This window comes from Homo sapiens, chromosome 13 (genome assembly GCF_000001405.40).
Source record: "Homo sapiens chromosome 13, GRCh38.p14 Primary Assembly".
Taxonomy (NCBI): domain Eukaryota; kingdom Metazoa; phylum Chordata; class Mammalia; order Primates; family Hominidae; genus Homo; species Homo sapiens.
The window spans coordinates 24889428-24912140 of NC_000013.11; the positions used below are offsets into that span (position 1 = coordinate 24889428).

Genomic DNA, 22713 nt, shown 5'->3' on the forward strand with positions numbered 1-22713 from the left:
TAAAATGAGTGTTAGTCTATTAATACACTAAGTGAAACTAATAAAACTCAGCTAGTGCTAAGAATGCTGTGGGTTTTGTTTATTCATATTGTTTTCATTTATACAACAGGCCAAAGCAAACAAGCTGTTATCTAGGAATCACTGCGCGTGTGCACACACACGCACGCGCGCCCCTTTTGACAAACATTCATTCAAGTTAGGACACAGTAGGCAAGGTTACCTGAACCATCTCCTCTGACCATTACAGAGCAGAGGAGGAGCACACAGGCCCTTCAGCTCATGGTGTTCGAGAACAAAGCCTCTCCTGGGTGCTCCCCACTCCCACTCCCACTGGGACAGTCCAGCTGAGCCCAGTTCTCCGAGACCACCACTGAGCACTCCCCATGAGGATGAGGTGGGGTGAGTCCTCTCTGCACCCCACCTCCATTTCTGGCCAAATCAAGCCCCAATACTACTTGCCCCAGCCCCCGCCATGTCCGTCCCTGCCAGGAGGTGATGCTTCCAGTGCCATCCTTCTTGGTGTCCTACCTCAGCTCCACACCCCAATGGTCAACCCTAGAACTTGTCATTATCAATACTATCAACATCTGCAATTATCAATAACCACAAAATTATTAATTTCAAAGCATTCTACTTACAAAGATCCAGAAGGTAGGGCATTCTACAAAGCAATCAGCCTGGTCTCTTCAAAAGTTAATGCAATTTAATAAAATGCTAAAGCATTTAGGGGTGAATTGCCATGATTCCTACAAGTACCTTCAAATGGTTCAGTGAAACATAGACATAACTATGGCAAAATGTTCCTAGTGGTTGAATCCAAGTGGATATCCAGGTGTTAATTGTACTATTCTTTCACCTATTCTCTATTTTGGGAAGCTTTCATACTAAAAAGGTTGGGAGCGGCGGGGAGAAGAATGCTACTTTCTCATTACGCTCCTGTCTTTGCAGCTTATTCTGTTAATTCCCCACCCCTGACCACGCTCACAGCTGACATGGCCCTACGGGTCCTCGACCCCCAGTGCTTGCCATGTCCTGAAAGCCTCTGGGCCCACGCTGTCCTCATGCAGCTAAAATATGCTATGCAGCAGGCACTCTTGTCACACACACTGTCAGCTTCCCTCCCTCTGCTCACTTGGTGGCATTCACTTGGATGACCACAAGCTGAATAAGAAAAAAATATGTGCAATTCTTATTTTAAATTTTCAGTCTCTGACCCAGGTTGGCCCAGGTACAGCCACGAATCACTCTATTCCCCCAGCCTCTGCTTTTGTTCACAGAGATGACCTCTGGCTTTCTGCATCTCCTCCCCTCCTGCTGCCTCTGCCCTCACAGGAGCCTGGGCTATGCCTGCACCTCCCGCCTCTGGGCACAAAGGCCATCGCCTGGCCACAGCCTGCCCTCCATTCGCTGCCTGGACCCAGCTCCTCTCACTTCACCAAGTATGGTGCTTCTGCAATTCTTCCACTTCCTCCTGCGTCAATATTTTCCTCTCCACTGAGTCAGTCCAACCAATATACAAACACCTGTTAATTTTACCGTCTTAAAAAAAAAATTCCCCTATGGCCACTACCCTCATGTCCTTAATTTACTGCAAAACTATTAAACAAAGCTGTTATCCGCTCCCAGCCGATCAGGCTTTCCTCTTCAACACTCCAGAGAAACAGTCCTTCTCAAGGCCCACAGTTCCTTCTCCCTGGTAAACTCCATGGCCGATTTCAGTCCTCCTCTGAGTCACTGCCACACCTGACACAGGTGGTCACTCTCCTCCTTGCAGCCTTTTCTTCACTTGCTCTCAGGACACCACACGGACTCCTGGCCTCCTGCTCTCTAGCTGCTCATCTGCTCCTCCCTGCCTACTCACAGCCCTGCTGGCCTCTCCCTGCCCAGTGCTGTATCACACATTGAGACGATCCCAGGTGTGTGTCCCCAACTGGAGCCTGTGCTGTCGTGTGCAGCTGCCTAGTCGGATCTCCTGTGTGTCTCGTAGGCATTTCAACTTCCCCTGTCCAAGCCTGAGTTCCTGGTGGCCATGTGCTCCCTTCTTGCGGTTGCTCCTAGTCAGTGGGACCTTCATGAGACCAAAACACAAAACTAAGCACAGTTGAGGCCATTCCTGACTCCTTCCTTGCTGTCACCACCAATCACACACACAGCTCAACAACAAACACAGTCTGCTTCTCTCCACCCGCCACTGCCACCCAGTCCCCCCAAGCCCTACTGCATTCCTGGTGTTGCCCATGCTCCCTTCCACCTGTTCCCGGTCTACAGCAGTCGGAGCTAAAATAAGAGGCCCGGCCACCCTTCATTCAGAGCCCTCCAGACTCCCACTCACTCAAAAAATGCCCATGTGCATGCTGCCATCTGTTAGGAATCCCATCCACCACCCACTGTCCCAGCCCACCCCGAGGGCTGGCCCACCGCTCCTCGCCCACTAATCCGATTGCCCCGTCTCAGGCCCACTCAGGTGCTGCTGCAGCCTGGGGCTCCTCTGCAGGCTCAGGCGGCCACCCAGGCCACTCCTTACATGCGCTTCCCAGACCGTCCCACCCAGACGGCGACGCCACTCCACAGCCCTGCTTCTCCGAAGGTCTCGTCACCATCTCACACACCACACGTTTTATTATTTGGCTTATTACAGTCTTTCTTCCACCACTGGAATGTAAGCTTCATAAGGGCAAGGAATTTTGTCTGTTTATTGCTGTACCCCAAGCACCTAATGCAGTGCCTGGCACACCCTGGTTGTTCACAGAGATGAATGAAAGACCAATTACTTGATTAAAAAGTGTCATATGCGTGCCACTCTTGGCCAAAATCTCCCTGGTCTGTTTTAACAGAGATGATCTGCCTACTGTGGCAAACCTCCTCCATAGGAATTAGAGAAATGAGTCTGCAAAGTACCCGTTTACAGCAATGCTTGAAAAATCATTTTAGTTGTGGTAAAATAGATATCACATAAAATTCACCGTCTTCAGCATGTTTAGGTGCACACTTCAGTGGCATTAAGGATATCTGCGGTGTAGTGCAACCATCGCCCTCCATCCAGCTCCAGGACACTTTTCATCTTACAAGATGGAAACTGTCCACATTCACAGTCACTCCCCACTGCCCCCCCAGCCCCTGGCAGCTCCCATTCTACTTTCTGACTCTATGAATTTGAATGCTCAGATATTGAAGCTCCCCCTGGCCTGACACAACCCACCCGCCTCCCTGCCTACCGCAAGCTTGTCCTTCTTCTCCACCTCGAGGCTGCTCTCTATGGCTTCTGCTCTCTTCCAGGCATCCAGTCGGAATCTTTCCATCACTTTTATTTCTTCCCGGAGGTCTGTGTTCTCTCTGACTAACATTTGTATCTGGCTTCTGAGACGGCTGTGTGTACTTGACCATTTGGTTTCCTTTCTTTTCAAATCTTCCCGTAAATCTGCTATTTGCTGTTTTAAAGTCTCTCAAAAAAAAAAAACAAAAAGAAAAAACCATTACTACATTACCAGAATTAAAACAATAGAAGAATAGAGACCCAGCAATGAAACAGAATAGCCAGCAAGAAAGGGAAGGCTTAGTCAACAGACGACATTTAAGACGAATGTCGTGGTTTTCAGCGGCGGGAGGAGGGGATCAGAGTCTCACCGCAGACCATCAGCAAAACTAATTCCAGAAGCCAGGAGAAAGGAAGGCAGACAGCACATGGGAGCTGACAGCAGAAAACTGCCAAGAGGTAGGAAAGACCTCACCTGAGCTATTAACTGAAAGGGATCCAGGGGGGAGATCCCAAAAAGAAGAAATGCAATAGGAACTCATGAATAACTGAAGGAAGACTAGAGCTAAAGAATAAAAGATTCCAAAGTCAAAACTACCTGCCCTGAAAACTATCTGAAATTCATGAGAAGAAATAAATTTCCAGAAAAATGAGTTGTTTTAGAAAGACTAAAATAAGGGAAGAATATGCTGGAAATGTCTAGAAGCAATTCGAGATCACGTGCAGCTGCAAGTGATAGCGACTGACCTAGAGTCGAGGAAGGAGCAGGGCACCGAAGCCCATCAGTGGTGAGGCAGCAGGTGCGGCCCGGCCCATGCCCCTGCACCTCAGTAATCCCTGCGGCAGCCACACGGCAGCCTGGTGAGGATGGAGAGGACATCTGGGCCCCACCACAGAGGGTGTGGACTTTGGATTGGGTGACATCAAGGTTCACATCCGAGTTTTCTGACTTGAATGCTTAAAACAAGGTAAGATCCACAACCTCCATGAATATCAGGTTTCCCATTTGTGAGACGGATTATGACCAATAAAAGAAAAATTTCTGGTAAGCACTTTTATCATGCAGGAATATGGATTTAATATGAAAATGGTAAAATACAAGTCTAAATGGGTTCAGAATTCAAGAGCAATTAATATTTACAAAATATCTGTTATCAGGCACTGTCACAGGCCCTTATTATACTAAGAACAAAGCTCCATCTCATGAGGCTCACTCTGCCGGGGACAGTGGGAGGGTGATGGGAGAGTGGCTGGGGCAGGTGAGGGGGTGACGGGAGAGTGGCCAGGGCAGGTAAGGTGGCGGGGCTGTGTGGGGAGGCAGGATGACACGTGCTGGGTGTCACTGAACAGAGCTGGGGGAGGCAGCGCGTGTGGGAAGCAACAGGAGGGTGCCTGGCACAGTGCCAGCACTACAAGGGACCAGCGCAGATGACAAGTAAATGGCAGGAGGACTGGCCAGGGACAGGAAGGGGAAAAAAGGCCCAGTCACATAGGGACTGAGGTTCTTGGAGGAAGGAAAGCAGAGGCATATGGAGGTGTCTGAGCGAAGGGGATCCGTTGTCACGTGGAGCGACGCCACAGGGACGGGGTAAGAGCGGAGGCCAAGCCGCCAGCAAGTCATTAACCCAGAGGTGGCAACTGGAATCTGAGTGGACTTTCTGTCAGAACAGCAAGGAATGGAAGAGCAAGAGAAGCCTCGAGAATGATTCGAGGCCTCTGGCCCAAGCACAGGGGAAGACGGCACCAGGATGGACACTGGCAGACGGCCGCGATGAGGCCTGGGGGTTCACAGTGGCTCCACAGGGGCCGTGTCAGTGCCATAGAATGACCGGAGGCCGCGCTGCAGGGCGTGTGGCGAAAACAGCTGGTGAGATTTGGAGATCCAGGCACAGTGAATATGGGCAAGGCTTTTAAGGAGTTTTGCTGCAAAGGAAAAAACAGATAGGGCTGTGGGGTTGAGTGAGTTTTGTTTAAAGAAATGCCAGCCAGCGGTAAGGATGGGAAGGCTGGGGGCAGAACGCGCGGAGGAGACAGAAGGCGGAGGCGGAGGGTGGGCTCCGTGGGCGGGACACGGGGATGGAGTGGGTGGAGGATGACACGCCCTCGGGGTGCAAAGGGAGGGAGAGGCCGCAGCCAGCCAGCAGAGACCCTGGGGATGGGGGAGAGGAAGAGAGGGGAGCCCCTAGGCTGGGGGACTGGTGAGGGTCCAGACCCAGACAGACGGGAGAGGAGCCGGGAGGGGAAACTGGCAGGAGGAAACGACCTGCGGGGTGAAGCCAGCAGGCCTGGCTGGCGGGTGGGATCCGCGGCTGGGGCGCAGACTTCCAGCGCAGCGCGAAAGCTCAGAGGCAAGGCCTCCACGTCCCGCGGGCAAGGCTCAGGCAGAGGCGGCTGCCAGGTCCCGGTGAGCACGGCTGAGAGCCAGCGCCGTGAAAACGGGAAGAAAGCGCAGAAGCCAGGGCAGGGAAGGCCGAGGGGACTCCGCACCTGCGGAAGGCGCAGCCGGCTCTGTCAACCTCCACAGGCTCTACGCTCAGAGCAGCCCCGGAGGAGCCCGGCTCCTTGCAGCGCAGTAGATGCCAGACCCCGAGCAGGTTTAAAAAAGAAAGCCAAGGCCGGGTGTGGTGGCTCACGCCTGTAATCCCAGCACTTTGGGAGGCTGAGACGGGCGGATCACAAGGTCAGGAGATCAAGACCATCCTGGCTAACACGGTGAAACCCCGTCTCTACTAAAAATACAAAAAAAAATTAGCCGGGCGTGGTGGCGGGTGCCTGTAGTCCCAGCTACTGGGGAGGCTGAGGCAGGAGAATGGCGTGAAGCCGGGAGGGGCCGGCCACTGCACTCCAGCCTGGGTGACAGCGTGAGACTCCGTCAAGAAAGAAAAGAAAGAAAAGAAAAGAAAAAAAGGAAGGAAAGAAAGGAAATAAAGAAAGAAAGCCAAAACCAAACAGTCTTAAATAACCCGTTGTTCCAGAAAGCAGTGCTCTCAAAACGCCAAGGGCAGCACTAAATGGCAAGGGAGCCATGGACTTAAAGGGGCTCCCCCACTGGTCAAGTTGGGACCACTTAAATATCAAAATGGAAATTTTATAATTAATTAGAGTAACCTGAGTGTGTGAAAAGCTATGACTCAGTAATGATTAATATAAATTCCAGGAGGGCAGAAATTGCTAACTCATCAATTCCTCAATGATTACAAGTGTCTAGTACATAAGGGGTTCTCAATAAATTTGCTGAATGAATACCCAAAATAAAATAGTTAATATTTTTCAACATAACTGTAATGTAAAGGAAGGTTAAATATGCCCTCTCCTTAATTTTTTGATGATTTAATAGAGTATCAATAAACATAGGTTTGTTTTCTATTAAGTATATATCTGTTTTTAAAGTATATTTTTGCACAGAAGTAAAAAGAAAGGTAAATACGGGGAACTATGAATAAGCCAAATGGTGTAAGGAAGAAAAGGAACTGCACCAAAACCAGCAAGAAATAATGAATACCCAGGGTTACACATGATAACCAAGTACGAACAGGGTCCAAACTTCAATCAACACCAGAAGTCATATAAACGAACAAAGGCGAGAGTTCAAGAATGAGTTCCTGAAGAGGGACGGCAACTCACCAGCCCAGCCCCTTGCCACCCAACAAGCCCCTTGAATGGGCACAGCCCAGAGCTGCCAGCAGTGAGGATGTGCCCAGTCCTGCATGGTGCAGTGTGGCAGCCACCAGCCAGCCACAGGTGGCTACTACTAAGTCCTGGAAATGTAGCTAATGGGAATGAGAAACTGAATTTTCAATTTACCTCTAATTAATTTAAATGGAAATAGCCACACAGGGATAAGAGCTAGCAGCCTGGACTGCAGAGCCTGAGAATCAGAGGACACATCTTGTGAGGGAAAGGCATCAAGTTGCAAGAAAAGAAAACCCACGTTATTCATCTAACAAAGTACAACAACAAAAAGAAGTGTGTTTGCTCTGGTTTGAATCCTTGGAAGAAGTAGTCAGGATCAGAGCTATGAGAAAGAGAAGGAAAAAAAGCAATCAATCTCACAACCTTGTGTGGTCTAAGGAGGTTATTTATTTTTTCCCTTTGGATCTGGTAAGATTTTCATAACACAGCAAGGTTATCTCTAATCCTAGGAGATCCAGAAAGAAAAATGAAATGACAAACCCATCATGTATTTTAGGCTATGGTTTTTAATTTAGTGAAGTTTTCTGATAGCAGAATTTGTTATAACTACTGGTTCAAGTATATGTCTTGTTCACTAAAAACAGCCATACTAAATTTGTAACTATAACTCAGATTGTTTAAAAGAAATTCAATTAAGTTTAAAATCAATTTTAAACCTCTTACCTATCAGGTAGAGAACAAAAAACACTCTAAGAATTGCTAGTAGAACTAAAAATTAATTAGCCAGCCATGGTGGTGGGCACCTATAATCCCAGCTACTTGGGGAGCTGAGGCAGGAGAATCGCTTGAATCTGGGAGACGGAGGTTGCAGTGAGCTGAAATTGAGCCCCTGCACTCCAGTCTGGGCCACAGAGTGTGTCAAAAAATAAAAATAAAAAACTGAACTAAAATTTGGCATGATGTTTATGGAGGGATAATCTGGCAATTTGTATCAATGTACATACCTTTAACCTCAAAATTCACTTGTAGGAATCCATCCTAGAGATATACTCCAGGACATAAGCTACATGAGGACAGGGATTGATTTGTTTTGTTCACTGCTGCATTGCCAGTATATGCCTGCTACACAGCAGGTACTCAGTAGCCATGTGCTGAATGAATAAGTGGGAGAATGATTGTGAGAGGTCACATATGCGCAGTTATTCAGTACAGCCCTTCTTGGATTCTTGTAAACAGAAAAAGAACAGAAATACATAGTGCTTAGGTGAGTAAATTATGGCACATATTACAATTCTATACAATAATAAAACAAAGAACAAAGATGTTCTGTTAAGATACATAATGATTTCAGTAAACTATCATTAATGTTTAAAAAAACATCATGAATGTATATATGTACTTTCTAAGAATTTCTCTGGGAAAATATGAGATTGATAACACTGGCTGCCTCGAGAGGTGAATTAGAATGCAAACAAATCAACTGTAAAAAGATACCAAACGACTGGAAAATCTGAATATGGACTAAGTATTATTTGATACTAAGGAATTACTGTAAATTTTGTTAGGTGTGACAAAGGTATGATAATTGTCCCCCGCCCCGTGGACGGAGTCTCACTCTGTCACCCAGGCTGGAGTGCAGTAGCATGATCTTGGCTTACTGCAACCTCCTCCTCCCGGGTTCAAGTGGTTCTCCTGCCTCAGCCTCCCATGTACCTGGGACTACAGGCACACCACGACACCCGGCTAATTTTTTTGTATTTTTCGTAGAGATGGAGATTTGCCATGTTGGCCAGGCTGGTCTCGAACTCCTGACCTCAAGCCATCTGCCTGCCTTGGCTTCCCAAAGTGTTGGGATTACATGAGTGAGCCACCACCCCCAGCCAATAGTCTTATTTTTTAAAGGTGTCTTTCTCAGAGAAACATACTGACTATGTATAGGTGAAATGAGGAGATGTCTGGGATTTCACTTTTTAAATTCCAGATTAAAAAGCAAAAAAAGAGTACAGCGGGGAGAGAGATGAAATTAGACAAAATGATCACTGGTAAAATATGGGAATTCATTCTGTTCTTGCTACTTTTATGTATTTTTGAAACTTTCTATAATAAAAAATTATTTTCAAAAAACAACTGAATAGGTGGCCGGAGCAAGGGTTGGGGAGGAATTTCACCACCCATCTTTTTGTAACTTTTGAATGATAATATATTTATATTACCTTTTGAAATAAAAGTTTTAATATTGTCAACATCTAACATATTAGATTTAATAAACTAAGCATTAACCAAAACATAATGGTACGTTTCTTCCCACAAAAATAAAGAAGGAGAATTAAAGACCCTGAACACCATGCTATTCAATAACTCAAGCTGTACGTGTGCAGGTGAGATTGCTCAAGGATGGCTGCATGAGACAGGAAGAAAGCAAAGGATGGAACTCAAAAATGCTAGTAATTAAAATACAGACAGTGGAAGGTGCATTTTATACTAGAAGCAATGGATAGCCATTTTAAATTTCTCTTTTGATAAGTCTCAACTTTGATGAAGTCCAATATATCCATTTTTTCTTTTATAGTTAGTTGTGTCTTCTCTTAGTAATCTTCGTATATGCCAATGTCGTAAATAAATTCACCTATTTTTTTCTAGAAGGTTTATAGTTTTAGCATGTCCACTTCTAACTATGAAATGAACAAGACTGATAATCTGGCCTATCAGTTTATAAGTTTTAGAATTAAACACCTGGTTATTTACAGCCATAAATTATGATAAATGAACAGAACTAACAATATTTGGTGGGTGGTAGGTCAAAAAGATTAACACAACATAATGCTGGTGAATTTCCAACTCCAGGCTTGTTAATTCATCCATGACATTATCGTGGTCTTTTCTAGGAAGACTTTACTAGTAAGAAAAGAACTGAAATCTTCTACTCTTTAAAAGTCAGACTACCAAAGATATTCCTGATACACTGTCTCAGACAGATTATTTGCTGAATGAATGAATAATGGATTGATACACAGTTTTGCTTTGACATAAGAAATAACTCTGAGATGCTTACAAGATTGTCACCTTTACTAACTTACATGAATATAACATAAAGAACTAGCATACCTGTATTTCTTCACGTTCCTTTTTATCTGGAAAAGTTCTTGCAGCTGTAGTATACTTTTCAAAAACTTTACGTTCCTTTTGTAGCTTCCTCATCTCCTCCTTTTTAAACTCTTCTATTCGAGCTAATTCTTTTGCTTTCTGTTGTTCGAAGTCTGCAATTTCTTTCCTAAAATGACCAAACTATGTTATCACCTAAGGAGACCATCTCAGTGCAGTGATGTGCAGAACCTGCTGACAGGCTAGTAACTGCTAGTCCTAGTGAATTCATCTTCAATCCATAGGCCTGAAATAACAGCCAATCCACTCACTAAAGCATTCATCCAATAAGCATTCATTGGGTGCCTACGATGAATCAGGCATTCGACGAAGTAGTGGGGAAACCACAGTGAAAAAAACAAACATTCTAGCTGGGCACAGTGGCTCAAGTCTATAATCCCAACACTGGGAGGCTGAGGCAGGCTTGAGCCCAGGAATTCAAGGTTATAATGAGCTGTGATCGCACCACTGTATTTCAGCCTGGGCGACACAGACAGACTCTGTCTCAAAAAAAAAAAAATGTATTCCCATGCAGCTTCTTACATTCTATTGGAAGACAGACGATAATAAAGATAAATAAGTACATGGAATATTAGAAGCATTAAAGAGAAATAAAGCAAGGAAGAAGTTTAGAAAATATCAGAGTGGGAGGGTGAAACTGTGTTGTATGTGAGGGCTTATCTTGCTGAGATAACATGAAGGAAACCTGAAGAAAATGAGAGAGCCAGTCACAAGGGTGTCCACACACAGCAGTACAGGCAGAAGGAGCAGCAAGTGCCAAGGCCCTGAGGCAAGAATGTGCCTGAGGTGTTCAAAGAACAGCCAGGAGGCCAGTGTGACTAAAACACAGTGAGCAAAGGATGGGTAGCAGGAGAAGGTGTCAAAAAAGGAGGAGACAGGCCAGGCACGGTGGCTCACTCCTGTAATTCCAGCACTTTGGGAGGCCGAGGCGGGCAGATCAGGCCAGGAGCTGGACCTGAGGTCAGGAGTTTGAGACCAGCCTGACCAACATGGAGAAATCCCGTCTTTACTGAAAATACAAAATTAGCCAGGCATGGTGGCGAATGCCTGTAATCCCAGCTACTCGGGAGGCTGAGGCAAGAGAATCACCTGGGAGGTAGAGGTTGCAGTGAGCCGAGATCGCACCATTGCACACCAGCCTGGGCAACAAGAGTGAAACTCCATCTCAAAAAAAAAGAGGAAGGAGGCCTTGATCAGATGAACCGTCCAAACGCAGGCTGGCTCTGGATGTGTGTGAAGAGCACAGACGCGGGCAGCAGAGAGACCTGCTAGGAAGTGAATTTAATAACCAGAGAAAGCCAATGGGGTCCTGGTGGAGAGTGGCAGCTCTGAGGCAGTGAAGCAGTCGGGTTAGAAATGGACTGAGAGAGCAAGAGAAGACTCAAGCATGACTCCAAGATTTTCCACTGGGCAAATGGAAGAGCAGACTCATGTGCTGAGACAGGGAAGAAGAAGAGAAGAGTAAGTTCAGGAGGGAACGTCAGGAGCTCACTTTTTCTAAATGATCAATTTAAACACTCATCAGCTCTCCAGGTAGAGAGAACAACGAGGCAGTGGGATAGGAGATGTGGGCGAGAGAACTGGATCTGGGGCGTAACAGCATTTAAAGCCTTGAGACCGGACAAGTCTCTCCCTGCCTCACTGGAGGGAGAGCAGACAGAAAAGGTAAAAGACATTCTTACTGACTATTCAAAATGTCGACCGTGTGCACACAATCATATAGTCAAAGCAAACACTGGGGGAGGAATACTTGTGGCACATTTGAGAAAGTTAAATATCCTGATAAATGAGCAAAGATCACAAAGAAAGTTACAAAATAAACACAAATGACCACTAAATATAAAAGCATGCTCAACTTTATCAATAATTAAATAAATACAAACTTTAGCAGGTGAAAGATGGCATAATTATCAGGTTGGCAAGATTTGAAAGACTGCTAACGCTCAACTCCAGTGATGGGGAAAGGGGTGAGAAGAAGCCTCAGATGCTGACTGGGGCAATGGACATTCTTAAAATTTATCACAAGGAAGTAGATTTTTAAATAAAAAGTGTCTTATACATATGACGATATTCCCTGCAGAATAATTTCTAATGTGGAAAATTCTAAACAAGCTAAATTTCCATTAACTGATTAGTCACAGTGGCATTCATATAATACAGTCATTTCAAGGATACAGAAGACTAGGGCGTGCTAATAGGTAAGATGTCTATTATGTTGTTGAAATGAAAAGCAAGGCTGGACATCGTAGCTCATGCCTGTAAGCCCAGAACTTTGGGAGGCCAAGGCAGGGGGATCACTTGAGCCCAGGAGTTCAAGACCAGCCTGGGGAACATGGCAAAACCCCGTATCTACCAAAAATACAAAAATTAGCTGGGCGTGGTGGTGCGTGCCTGTAGTCCCCGCTACGCAGGAGGCTGAGGTGGAGGATGGTTTGAGCCCAGGAGGCAGAGGTTGCAGTGAGCCAAGATTGTACCATTGTACTCCAGTCTGGGTGATAAAGCCAGACCCTGTCTCAAAAAAATAAAAATAAAATAAAAAGCAGATTAAAGAGCCCATACAGTAGAGCCCAGGGCTCTACTGAACCACACTGCCTAGGCTGGCACTGAGGCTCTCTGTCACTGACTAAGGAGGTAAACTTAAAAAACTTGCTTCTCAGTGCATCAGTTTCCTCATCTGTCAATTGGGAAGGATAACACAATGTCTAAATTCGAGGACTGAATTTTGCTTAGAACAAAGCAAAACCGAAATAGGGAAAATGCTAAAAAAAAACAAAAAACAACAACAAAAAAACAAAAACCCAGCCATTATCTTATGACTTAAATGTTCTTTAAAAGAAAAAGATGTCCGTTTTGAAATAATGAAGCAGAGACGTTTTAAAAGTGATCTTGGGTGGAGAACGGATTGGAATAAGTTCCACATTTTACCCATAACTACTATGATAAGCATACATTTACAGTATGTATCAGCTGAAAAACAAAGATGTTTCCATTAAAAAGTAACAAATTTTCAGAATTTGATTTTTAAGCATACTGCAGATTATAGTATAGTAACCGAATTTCCTTTTTAAGTGGATTAATAGCTGTCTATAAACCTTTATCTGGAACTTAGGGGCCAGATGTGCTTTAGAATTCATATTTTTCAGGTTTTAGAAAAGAAATACGGAAGAGATGTTAAGGAAGATGGTGGAGTAGGAAGCTCCAACAATCAGTCCCTCCACCAAAGCAGCTATTGAACTAGCAGCACCTGTCAGAATCAACCACTTCGGAACTCTGGACACTAACGAAAGACTTGCAGCATCCTGGGGAGTGCTAAAGAACAAAGAGGCTGGGAAATTTGGGTGAATTTCAGCATTTGCATAGCAGCTACCATCCCCTAGATCCCATCCCGCAGCAGGCAGCCATGGGAACTACAGTTGTATGAATTTCTCCTCAAACATTAAAATAACAAATACCAAAAAACAAAGAAATACGGTGTGTATGTGACATATAATATCCCCAACAAGACCCAGAGCAACACCTGGAATAAAAAGTACTAGTATGTTCCTGCAACAGAACTTAGTACTATTCACAAGTACAATTAAAAAATATGTCTACGTAAAATTTATATAGAGAGAAATAATAAATATAACATATATAAATAGCCTCATGTAAGTTCAGTTCAAGTTTTGCTAACCAATAAAGTCAGGTAAGATCATGACCTAGGGTAGGAGACGATATGTCATACTATCGACTGCTGTAGGTGGAGTTGTGTCCTCTAAAACAATATGTTGAAGTCCCAATCCCTGTGAATAGTGCCTTTGCAGATACAATTAAGATGCCAGTTAAGATGACGTTATACTGGAGTAGGGTGGGCCCTTAAACCAATATGACCCTATCCTTAAAAGAGGCACCAAGACAAACACACACAGAGGAGAATGCCATGTGAAGACACACACAGAGGGAAGATGGCCATGTGACCACAGAGGCAGAGACTGGAGTGATGTAGCTGCAATCCAAGAAATACCAACGTGTGCCTGAAACCACCAGAAGCTGGAGGAGCCAGCATGGCCCGCCTTGCTGATGCCCGGACTTTGGACTTACAGCCTCCAGAATCACAAGAAAATACATTTCTATTGTTTAAAGCCACCCAGTTGCTGGTACTTTGTTACAGCAGCCCAGAGAAACCAATACACTAACTAGCCAAAGTACCACTTGAAGGTACCATAGCTCCAAACTGTTTTTCAAATTTTAATTTATGATCTCTCCACTAAGAAAAATTCCCCTTTGTACACATCATTGACTACCCTGGGTCATTTTATTCAGTAAAAAAAACTTATATGATACAGATTTCACCTCCTTTTCAATTATATTTGTTTGACTGATTTAAATTGTTTCAGACTGTTTATAGATGGTCTTAAAGGTATAACTGAGTCACTGCATATTTTTTCCCAACTTACAGACCCAAACGTACCTGAGTTTTTCCAAGGCACTTTCTCGTTCAATGCGAAGTTTAGCTAAAGATGCGTTCTCAGCTTTAAACTTTTCTATTTCTGTTTCCAATTCAATAATTTTCTCTCTCAAAACCTGGGATCGAGCATTGTCACCTATGAAATAGGCCATAAATACTGAACTTCAAAAAAGGCATTACTGCAGCAAAAACACTAGCTAGCTAGTAACACTAAGAGCCAAGAATATGGCAAACATCTGTGCTATTAAAATGCATTAGAAACAATGCTTCAAACATGAAAAGGAAAAAAAATTAAACCTAACTTTCCTGAGGAAATCAGTGGGAATTTATGGAAGAATTAATCTACCTCAAAAGAGTATCGACCTGACAAGGAATCAACATGATACATAAAAAGAAATCATTCAAATCAATTTTTCAAAGACGAATATATATAAATAGCTTAAGAATAAGTAATCCACAAGAGATCTGAAGAGCTAATCAACACCAAAATCAAAGTTTACCCCTACTATTAATCAAATAAATGCAAATTGTTTTCCCTTTATCAAATTTGCTATTTAAAATGTAAAATAGCCAGTGCTTCTGTCCTTCAAGCATTTTTATCAATTAGTACTTTTTTAGAAACTAAATGTGATCCACAAGGCTAAAGAAATGAGCTAAGTTATACAACTCTGTCATATTAAAACTACATAGAAAAAATGACTGGAATGAAATATCCCAAAATGGCATAGCAGTTACTTTTGGGTAGTTAAGTTGTAAATATTTTTGCTTCTATGCTTTTTAAGCTTCCAAACTTTGTACAAAAAAATTACTTTTAAAATCAGAATTTTTGAAAATTAACGTTATAATTTCTATTTTAATTTCTATTTTAAAGCACCTATGCTCTGCTAGTTTATAATATAATATAATGGAAAGGAATCTTTCAGGGTGAGTTTAAAAAGTCCGTTACATCAACAGAAATACTACACATCCGTTAAATGGAATGAGGTAGGTGTGTACATGCGTTAGAACAATCTTCAAAATTTATCATAAGCAAGGTGCAGGACAGTATACAAAAAGAGTCTTTTCATTTGTATAGAAAGGTAATTATATACAAACTGACACATATGCTTTTATATGCACGGACTCTTTAGAATACACAAACGAAATGGTAATACTGGTACCTCTAGGAAGGGGTACTTGAACCAGGTCTGGGGAAGAAAGGAAACGTAGAAGCTTTGATGTTATCTCACTTTATTAAAAACTAATTAATTTTAAAGCCTCATATAGACCCATAAAATAAATCAAATTTTTACAAATCACCCATTAATTTGACTTAATTCTATTGAGCAATAAGGAAAGTTAGGATTTTAAGCATTCTGACAGCATACTGATTAATGTTAAATTTCTAACATTCTGATACATATTTTATAATGCTCTGACTCACCAGGTGGTTGGTCTTGACTTATGTTTAACTTGAGTTCATTTCCCAAGTGTGAATCTGACTTTGGTTTTGGTTTCAAAGAAGGAAAGAATTTCATCATCAGCTCCGATGTAGGAGGACTTCTGCTCCTCCTGGACTTGCTCAAGTCTTCTCCCCTCTTGACTGGTGCAATCTTCCTTTTTATTGTTTTGTCCAGGATACCTATTTCATTATTAGGGTAGCATGTCTGCGGCGTCCCATAAGTGGATTCATTCCCAAGAACAACATCATGGTTACACAAATTCTCTTCAAGGTCAGTCCAAGTTCTTTCATCATCAAAGTCCATTTTACTCAGACTTAGGGATGAGGATCTCGAGGGCTCAGACACTTTATGTTTTATGCTTTCCATGATAGACTCATCGCTACTGTAATCTTTATCAGACAAATCCAGATCAACATCTCTCCTTTTATCTTCTTGGGTCCTGGTGTCCTTAAAAGGCCCCTTATCATCACAGACTTGTGGGCTATCCTCTCTGCTGCTGATGCCCCTCTCTCTATCCTCAGTCGATGGTTTTATGGTAACATCAAGCTGTTCCTCAGAGTCAGTGCTACTGTCACTATTTGGAACACCTTCATCGTCACGTGCATTCCATTCAGTCTGATTTTCAGAAGTGCTCTTTTGGACGGCTTTCCTGATTTTACAAGGCTGTTCCCTCAATTCATCAGCTGAGGACAATGAATGAAGTTGTTTGGGTGCGACTTCACACTCACTCTCCTTCTCACGTGCAGTGTGGTCCAAATCCTCACTGCGGTTACAATGACTAATGGGATCTGCCGGATTTGTCTTCTGTGGCACAGCTTTGACAGGGGTGGAAGACATCCGGTGACCTTTGCAGATCTGTTGATCCCTTTCTAAGATTTTCAGTACAAATGAGGAATTACTAGAAAATGATATTTCATCAGCAGCTTGTTCTAAAAACAAAAATTCATCTAATTCCAAATTTTCCTTTTCCTTTTCTCGTTCCCAAGTCTCTAACTTTTTCTGAAGAGAAACGTCAAGAGAAGATTCAGACTCTTTCATGGTCTCCCTTATGGGGCTCTTAGCAGCCAGCCGGCTGGCCGGCCCTGTTGAAAGAGGAAGTCTGTCTTTACCTTGTGTCTTATTCCACCCTGTGCAGCCAGTATCGCAAGGTTTTGGACACTCAGTTACATTTTCTTTATTATTAGATGTGACTTTGTTTTCAAATTTGATCTGGTCTCTAAACTGCCCATCACATTTCTTCCCCGTCTGTATTTTCAATCCTGACGGAGAAAGACTTTTCCTGTTACTACACTTCAGCATTTTCGGCTTCTGACTGAGGGTGACAGAACCACTCTTGGTTCTAGCTTTACTGTCCTTTTTAAGGATAGGGTTGTCTGCACACAGCTCTTTATTTTTAAGAGCGGTTTTCCGCTGGAGTTGCTGTCTATCCATTTTAAACAGCGGCTGGTCCTCGGAAGTGCTCTGGTTAGTCACTAGTTTACTTTCTTTGCCTTTTTGAAACTTAGATTTGGCATTAGTAAATCTAGCTAAACCTTCTCCTCGTTTTAAAAATGGTTGTTTTGGTTTTGCTTTGATTGGCAATGGTCCTTCTGCTTCCTAAAATAAAAGAATAATATTTGAATTAATTTTGGTATATCCAAGTGATCTCAAAGTTATTTTTAAGGCAAATTATAGATAAATCTCTAAAGCCTTAGAATGATTTAATCAGAAGAGCACAATTGCTGACCTTCAGCTGTTTTTGCTTCAGTTCTTGCTCTTCCAACTGAATTTGTTCTTCTAAGTAATCTTCAAAGGTCTGTTTCCTTTCTCCAATAGCAGCTTTAATGGGCCTAATTAGAAACAGAAAGTTATTTAACATGCAAATCATAATGTGTGAATATTTTACACTTAGTGTGCCTGGTATAGAAACCCTTGACAACATGGAGAACTAACTTTTCCCAAAATCAGTGCCTCCCTTTGAGAACCTAACAAAAGCCACAATCCCTCTCCACACCTTAAAATAAAGAAACATACAACACTCTTCACATGACTTTGGAGTCCTAAGAACCCTTCTGAAGTCCATCTATCGACCACAGATTAACACATGGAGTAACATATTCATCAAATAACTTTAAAATGTATTTCAAAAATAGATCACTAAATATGCATTTTTTTAATTAAGAAAGGCCCTTAATGTGAGAACAATAATCAGAAAAGTCATTTTGTCCATATTATATTAAAAATTTTGAAATAAATTTTTAAAATAATCAACTTACTTAAAATATAAAATACTTAATCTTTGCCATATTTTAAAATTCTGTAACTAAACTGATAATGCAATTATAATTGATAAGTGACACCAAATGGGAGATGTCAATACTTAATTTTTCCCTTCTCCAAAAATAGGATTTAACTATTTGAGAGAAAATTGATTTTATCCAGATGTTTCTCTTAAGTGAAAAAGCTTCGAGAATACAATGTCAAGGCAGCTTGACATATCTCCTCAACCTCTTTTGTTGTTGACAGTACATAATAGGTTGTATCTTTAACCTTAAAAGCATAGTCAAGCAAAAACCAGAAAAATATAGATCTTTCAAACAAAGAAAGTGTTCAATAATAAAGGCTAGCTATTGTACTAAATAGTCACATTTCTCACTTTCAACACGAACAATACCTTTCTTCAATATTAGCCACTTCTGAGGAATCATCATGTTTTTGTAAGTTCTTATCATTTGCTTCCTGAATCTGTTCTGTCACTTTCTCCCAACATAAGATACTTTCTCCTGAGATAAAAATTAAGAACAATTTAGCTCAAGAAAAGCATATTAATGTCTTAAAACATGAGAATTCTACAAGTTACTATGCTAAAACATTTTTTTAATTAAAAGTAATGTATATCACAGATTTTACAACACTCAAGGAATTCTTTAATATAATTAAGAGAAACTACAAAACTCCAATTAAGACACTTGAGGCCGGGTGTGGTGGCTCACACCTGTAATCCCAGCACTTTGGGAGGCCAAGGCGGGAGAATCACTTGAGGCCAGGAATTCGAGCCCAGCCTGGCCAACGTGGCGAAACCCCGTCTCTACAAAAAAAAAAAAAAAAAAAAAAAAAAAAATTAGCCAGGCGTGGTGGCACATGCCTGTAATCCCAGCTACCTGGGAGGCTGAGAGCAAGCAGAGGTTGCAGTAAGCCAAGATGGTGCCACTGGACTCCAACCTAAGTGACAGAGGAAGACCCTGTCTCAAAAATAAAATAAAATAAAATAAAGACACTTGACATTCTTCAAAAGGTTAATGTCATGAGGAAAAAAGTGTGGGGTTTTCTAGAGATTAAAAAGGCTAAAGAGTTGTAAGAATCAAACGTAATACATGAACTTGACTGGATATGCATTAATTTGATTGGATCCTTTAAAAAAAAAGCACCTTTAAAAGATATTTTGGGATAACTGGGGGAATCCCAAAATGGACTTGAATATTAAGGAATTATCATTAATTTCTTTAGATACAATAATAGCACTGTGGTTATACAGATGAATGTCCTAATTTTTGCTTGATGCATACTGAAATATTTGGAATGAAGTAACAAGATACCTGCATATTATTTTCAGTGAAATGGTTCAGCAAATTATACACATATAGAAGTAAAGATAAGGATATACATGTAAAAGATATATATACACATACATACACTGACAAAGTAAATACAGCAAAATATTAACTGCTCAATCTAGGTGGTGGGTATATCAGTAATAACTGCAGTGGTCTTTCAACTTTTCTAGATGTTTGAAATTTTCCAAAATAAAAGGCTATGGAAACATGTTGTATAAAAAAGAAGAAAAACATATTTGAGCTTTCCACACCGATGAATTAACTCTAAATTAGGAACAAGGCATTATGGTTGGGTGCAGTAGCTCAGATCTGCAATCCCAGTACTTTGGGAGGCCAAGGCAGGCAGATCACTTGAGGCCAGGAGTTTGAGACTAGCCTGGCCAACATGTTGAAACCCCATCTCTACTAAAAATACACAAAATTATCTGGGCATGGTGGCACATACCTGTAATCCCAGCTACTTGGGAGGCTGAGACACAAGAATCACTTGAACCCGAGAGGCAGAGGTTGCAGTGAGCTGAGATTGTGCCACTGCTCTCCAGCCTGGGTGACAGAGCGAGACTGTCTCAAAAAAAAAAAACACGCCACAGGGGACAAAAAAAAATAACCATACAGAAAGAGCTGGCAGGGTAGCACGTGCCTATAGTCCCAGCTACCTGAGAGGCTGATGGGGGAAGATTACTTGTGCCCAGGAGATTGAGTCCAGCCTGAGCAACACGGCAACACTCCATCTCTGAAAAAATAATTTTTAAAGAAAAAACATGGAAAGGCTTCATCTTAGGACAACTTAGTAACACTATAAGCACAGAAGAGAGAAACATAAGTAGCTCACCTGTAGGATGGTTACGGTTTTCTTCTTTTAAATTATTTTTTTCCACAGGTGCTTCTTGATACTGTGCCTCAGAAAATAAATTAGGAGACGCACGTTTTGAAGTTAAGACAAAATCTCCATGAGCAGTTCTACAGAAGTTGCTTTGCTCATGGGATAAAATGTTGGACGGGTATGTTTCTTCCTGGGTTGGGTCCGGGTAGACATATGATGGGAAGCAGCATGTGGCTCTCTCTCCAGTGGTGGTATTTCCTGGAGACCTGTGCTTCTGGCTCTGATCATCAGGCAGTAAACTCAAACCTTACAATTAAGAAATGCAACAAAGCTGATGACTTCCTTCAACATTTTCTCTTTTATCCCCAGTAGTGACCCCCACCCCACAAAGACTTCTCCACAGTGACAACAGTATTTTTTCCCTTTATTAGGAAATGGTGTTTAACAAAACCATTGATTGTTTGAGACAGTCTCGCTCTGTCGCCAAGGCTGAAGTGCAGTGGTGCGATCTCAGCTCACTGCAACCTCCACCTCTTGGGTTCAAGTGATTCTCGTGCCTCAGCCTCCTGAGTAGCTGGGATTACAGGCGTGTGCCACCACGCCCAGCTAATTTTTTATATTTTTAGAACAGATAGGGTTTCACCATGTTGGCCAGGCTGGTCTTGAACTCCGGACCTCAGGTGATCTGCCGGCCTTGGCCTCCCAAAGTACTGGGATTACAGGTGTGAGCCACTATGTCTAGCCTGTTTAAATTTCTAATGCAGTAAGTTATTGGTAAATACAGCCCATATAACAAAAGTTCTTTGGGGCTCTCAAATATTTAAGAATCCTAAGGGATCCTGAGACCAAAATATTTGAAAACTACTGCTCCAAAGCAAACTGCTCCATGACTGCATGAGGCTAGTTCTTATGTAAATAACTTTGAAATCAGCTTCCCTGTCATTCTGTCATAGTGCGGTTCTACCTTTAAAAGTATCACAGCTGTTATTTAAGTGATCTTGATTATTCTTTGTATGTATTCCATAAAGAAACCCTAAGCCATTCAACTATTTTAAGGCACACAAATGTTTTCTATATTCTCTAAGATAAACATCCAAATTCCCTAAACCATTGTTTATGTGCTACAATTTCTCATGACCACACCCCACCTGACCCCTGCACCCAGCCTCACTCACTTGCCAAGTCTTTTTTTCCTTGTATTCTCAATGCCCAGCATAATCTCTGAGCAGAACAGGTGCTTTCCTGGGTCAGTAAAGTATATTTCTTAAAAGAAGCAAACACATGGCTCCAACCTCAGTTTTTTTCAAACTATGGGACACAATCTATAATAATTTTATTATCGGATGTAGCATTTTTTAAAATGATATAGAACTAGAATAAACAAGACAGAAAATGTCCTCACTACATGCCAGGAACACCAATAAGGACTGATGACATGAAATTGCTTTGTCATTATGAGTCACGATTTTAAACATTTTTACTACTACAGAGTGTGGTCAAGAAACTTTCAAACCACTGCTCCAGGTCACATTTCCAGTTTTCTTTCCTGATTGGCACGTGACGCTTTCCGTTAACTGATGGGTCACACAACAGAATACTGTCATCTCCTACCACAGAAAATATCTTTGGTATGGTTCTTCAGCTGAACAGAGTGGCTCCTACATGTATTTACCTTCATGACACCCAACAGTTTTCATTCATCAGGCAGGGGTTGGATACCAGCAGCAGCTCTAGGCCAAATCTGACTTTTCTTCTATTGGACCTTTTTTGGGGGGACAGGGTCTCACTCTGTTGCCCGGCTGGAATGCAGTGGTGCCATTATAGCTCACTGCTGCAGCCTCAAATTCCTGGGCTCAAGCAATCCTCCCACCTCAGTCTCCAGAGTAGCTAGGACTGCAGGCATGGACCACCACACCCAGCTCATTTTTTTTTTTTTTTTAATGAATAAACATCAATGCCTTAAAGCAGGGCATGCGCACACCAGAATGCGGCAGCTCCTTCTTGTTCCAGTTGTATTACAACTCTACCATTTCACATTTATCGGGCTAGCCTTTAAAGAAACTGGAGTTCACAACACATGATACAGGAACGATAGAAATAACGTGTCAAACAACTACAGGTAAGAAATGTGCATTATACTGAGGCCCTGTGTAGGCAAAGCATACCTGGAAGTGTGCACTGCCCAGACACCATGGTGAGCAGCTTCTCTTGTTCTTCCATGAGTCTCTGTAGTTGCTCCAACTGTTGCCTCTTCAATTGTTCCTGCTTCTTCTGTTGTACTTCTTTCAGCTTTTTAAATACAAAATTAACTTTATTAAATCAACTTTACAATTCTTCATGGACACCTCGTTCCCTTAATT

At 42.3% G+C, this 22713-nt stretch overlaps 1 protein-coding gene across 11 annotated transcripts in view, besides 3 other annotated features; it reads right to left on the minus strand.

Annotated features, from left to right (window-relative positions):
• CPAP (centrosome assembly and centriole elongation protein) overlaps positions 1-22713 on the minus strand; it is a 51722-nt gene that overhangs the window by 7149 nt on the left and 21860 nt on the right. For 7 of the 11 annotated variants that reach the window (NR_047595.2, NR_047594.2, XR_941627.2 and 4 more), the window contains 8 exons: positions 22519-22642; positions 20363-20659; positions 18591-18699; positions 17664-17766; positions 15919-17533; positions 14499-14631; positions 9992-10157; positions 3216-3440 (listed from right to left, as the gene is read on the minus strand). Coding sequence is in view for 7 of the 11 variants with exons in the window: in XM_047430483.1 (XP_047286439.1) it covers positions 3216-3440; positions 9992-10157; positions 14499-14631; positions 15919-17533; positions 17664-17766; positions 18591-18699; positions 20363-20659; positions 22519-22642 (2772 nt within the window). In the remaining 4 variants the exon portion in view is untranslated. Of the gene's footprint in view, positions 1-64; positions 2069-3215; positions 3443-7890; positions 8112-9991; positions 10158-14498; positions 14632-15918; positions 17534-17663; positions 17767-18590; positions 18700-20362; positions 20660-22518; positions 22643-22713 lie in introns of those variants that run through there. The other 4 variants (XM_011535150.3, XR_941628.2, XM_047430485.1 and 1 more) reach the window with 4 other exon arrangements.
• Positions 4331-5249: an enhancer, noted in NCBI's record as "H3K4me1 hESC enhancer chr13:25467896-25468814 (GRCh37/hg19 assembly coordinates)". NCBI's record gives its function as "activates a minimal SCP1, AML or CMV promoter by ChIP-STARR-seq in primed H9 embryonic stem cells {active_cell/tissue: H9 hESC(primed)}" and the evidence as "EXISTENCE:reporter gene assay evidence [ECO:0000049][PMID:30033119]".
• Positions 11084-11163: an enhancer, noted in NCBI's record as "active region_7480". NCBI's record gives its function as "activates an Ori minimal core promoter by ATAC-STARR-seq in GM12878 lymphoblastoid cells {active_cell/tissue: GM12878}" and the evidence as "EXISTENCE:reporter gene assay evidence [ECO:0000049][PMID:35858748]".
• Positions 21319-22518: an enhancer, noted in NCBI's record as "MED14-independent group 3 enhancer chr13:25484884-25486083 (GRCh37/hg19 assembly coordinates)". NCBI's record gives its function as "activates an origin of replication core promoter dependent on BRD2, BRD4, P300/CBP and CDK7 cofactors, and independent of MED14, by STARR-seq in HCT116 cells {active_cell/tissue: HCT116}" and the evidence as "EXISTENCE:reporter gene assay evidence [ECO:0000049][PMID:35650434]".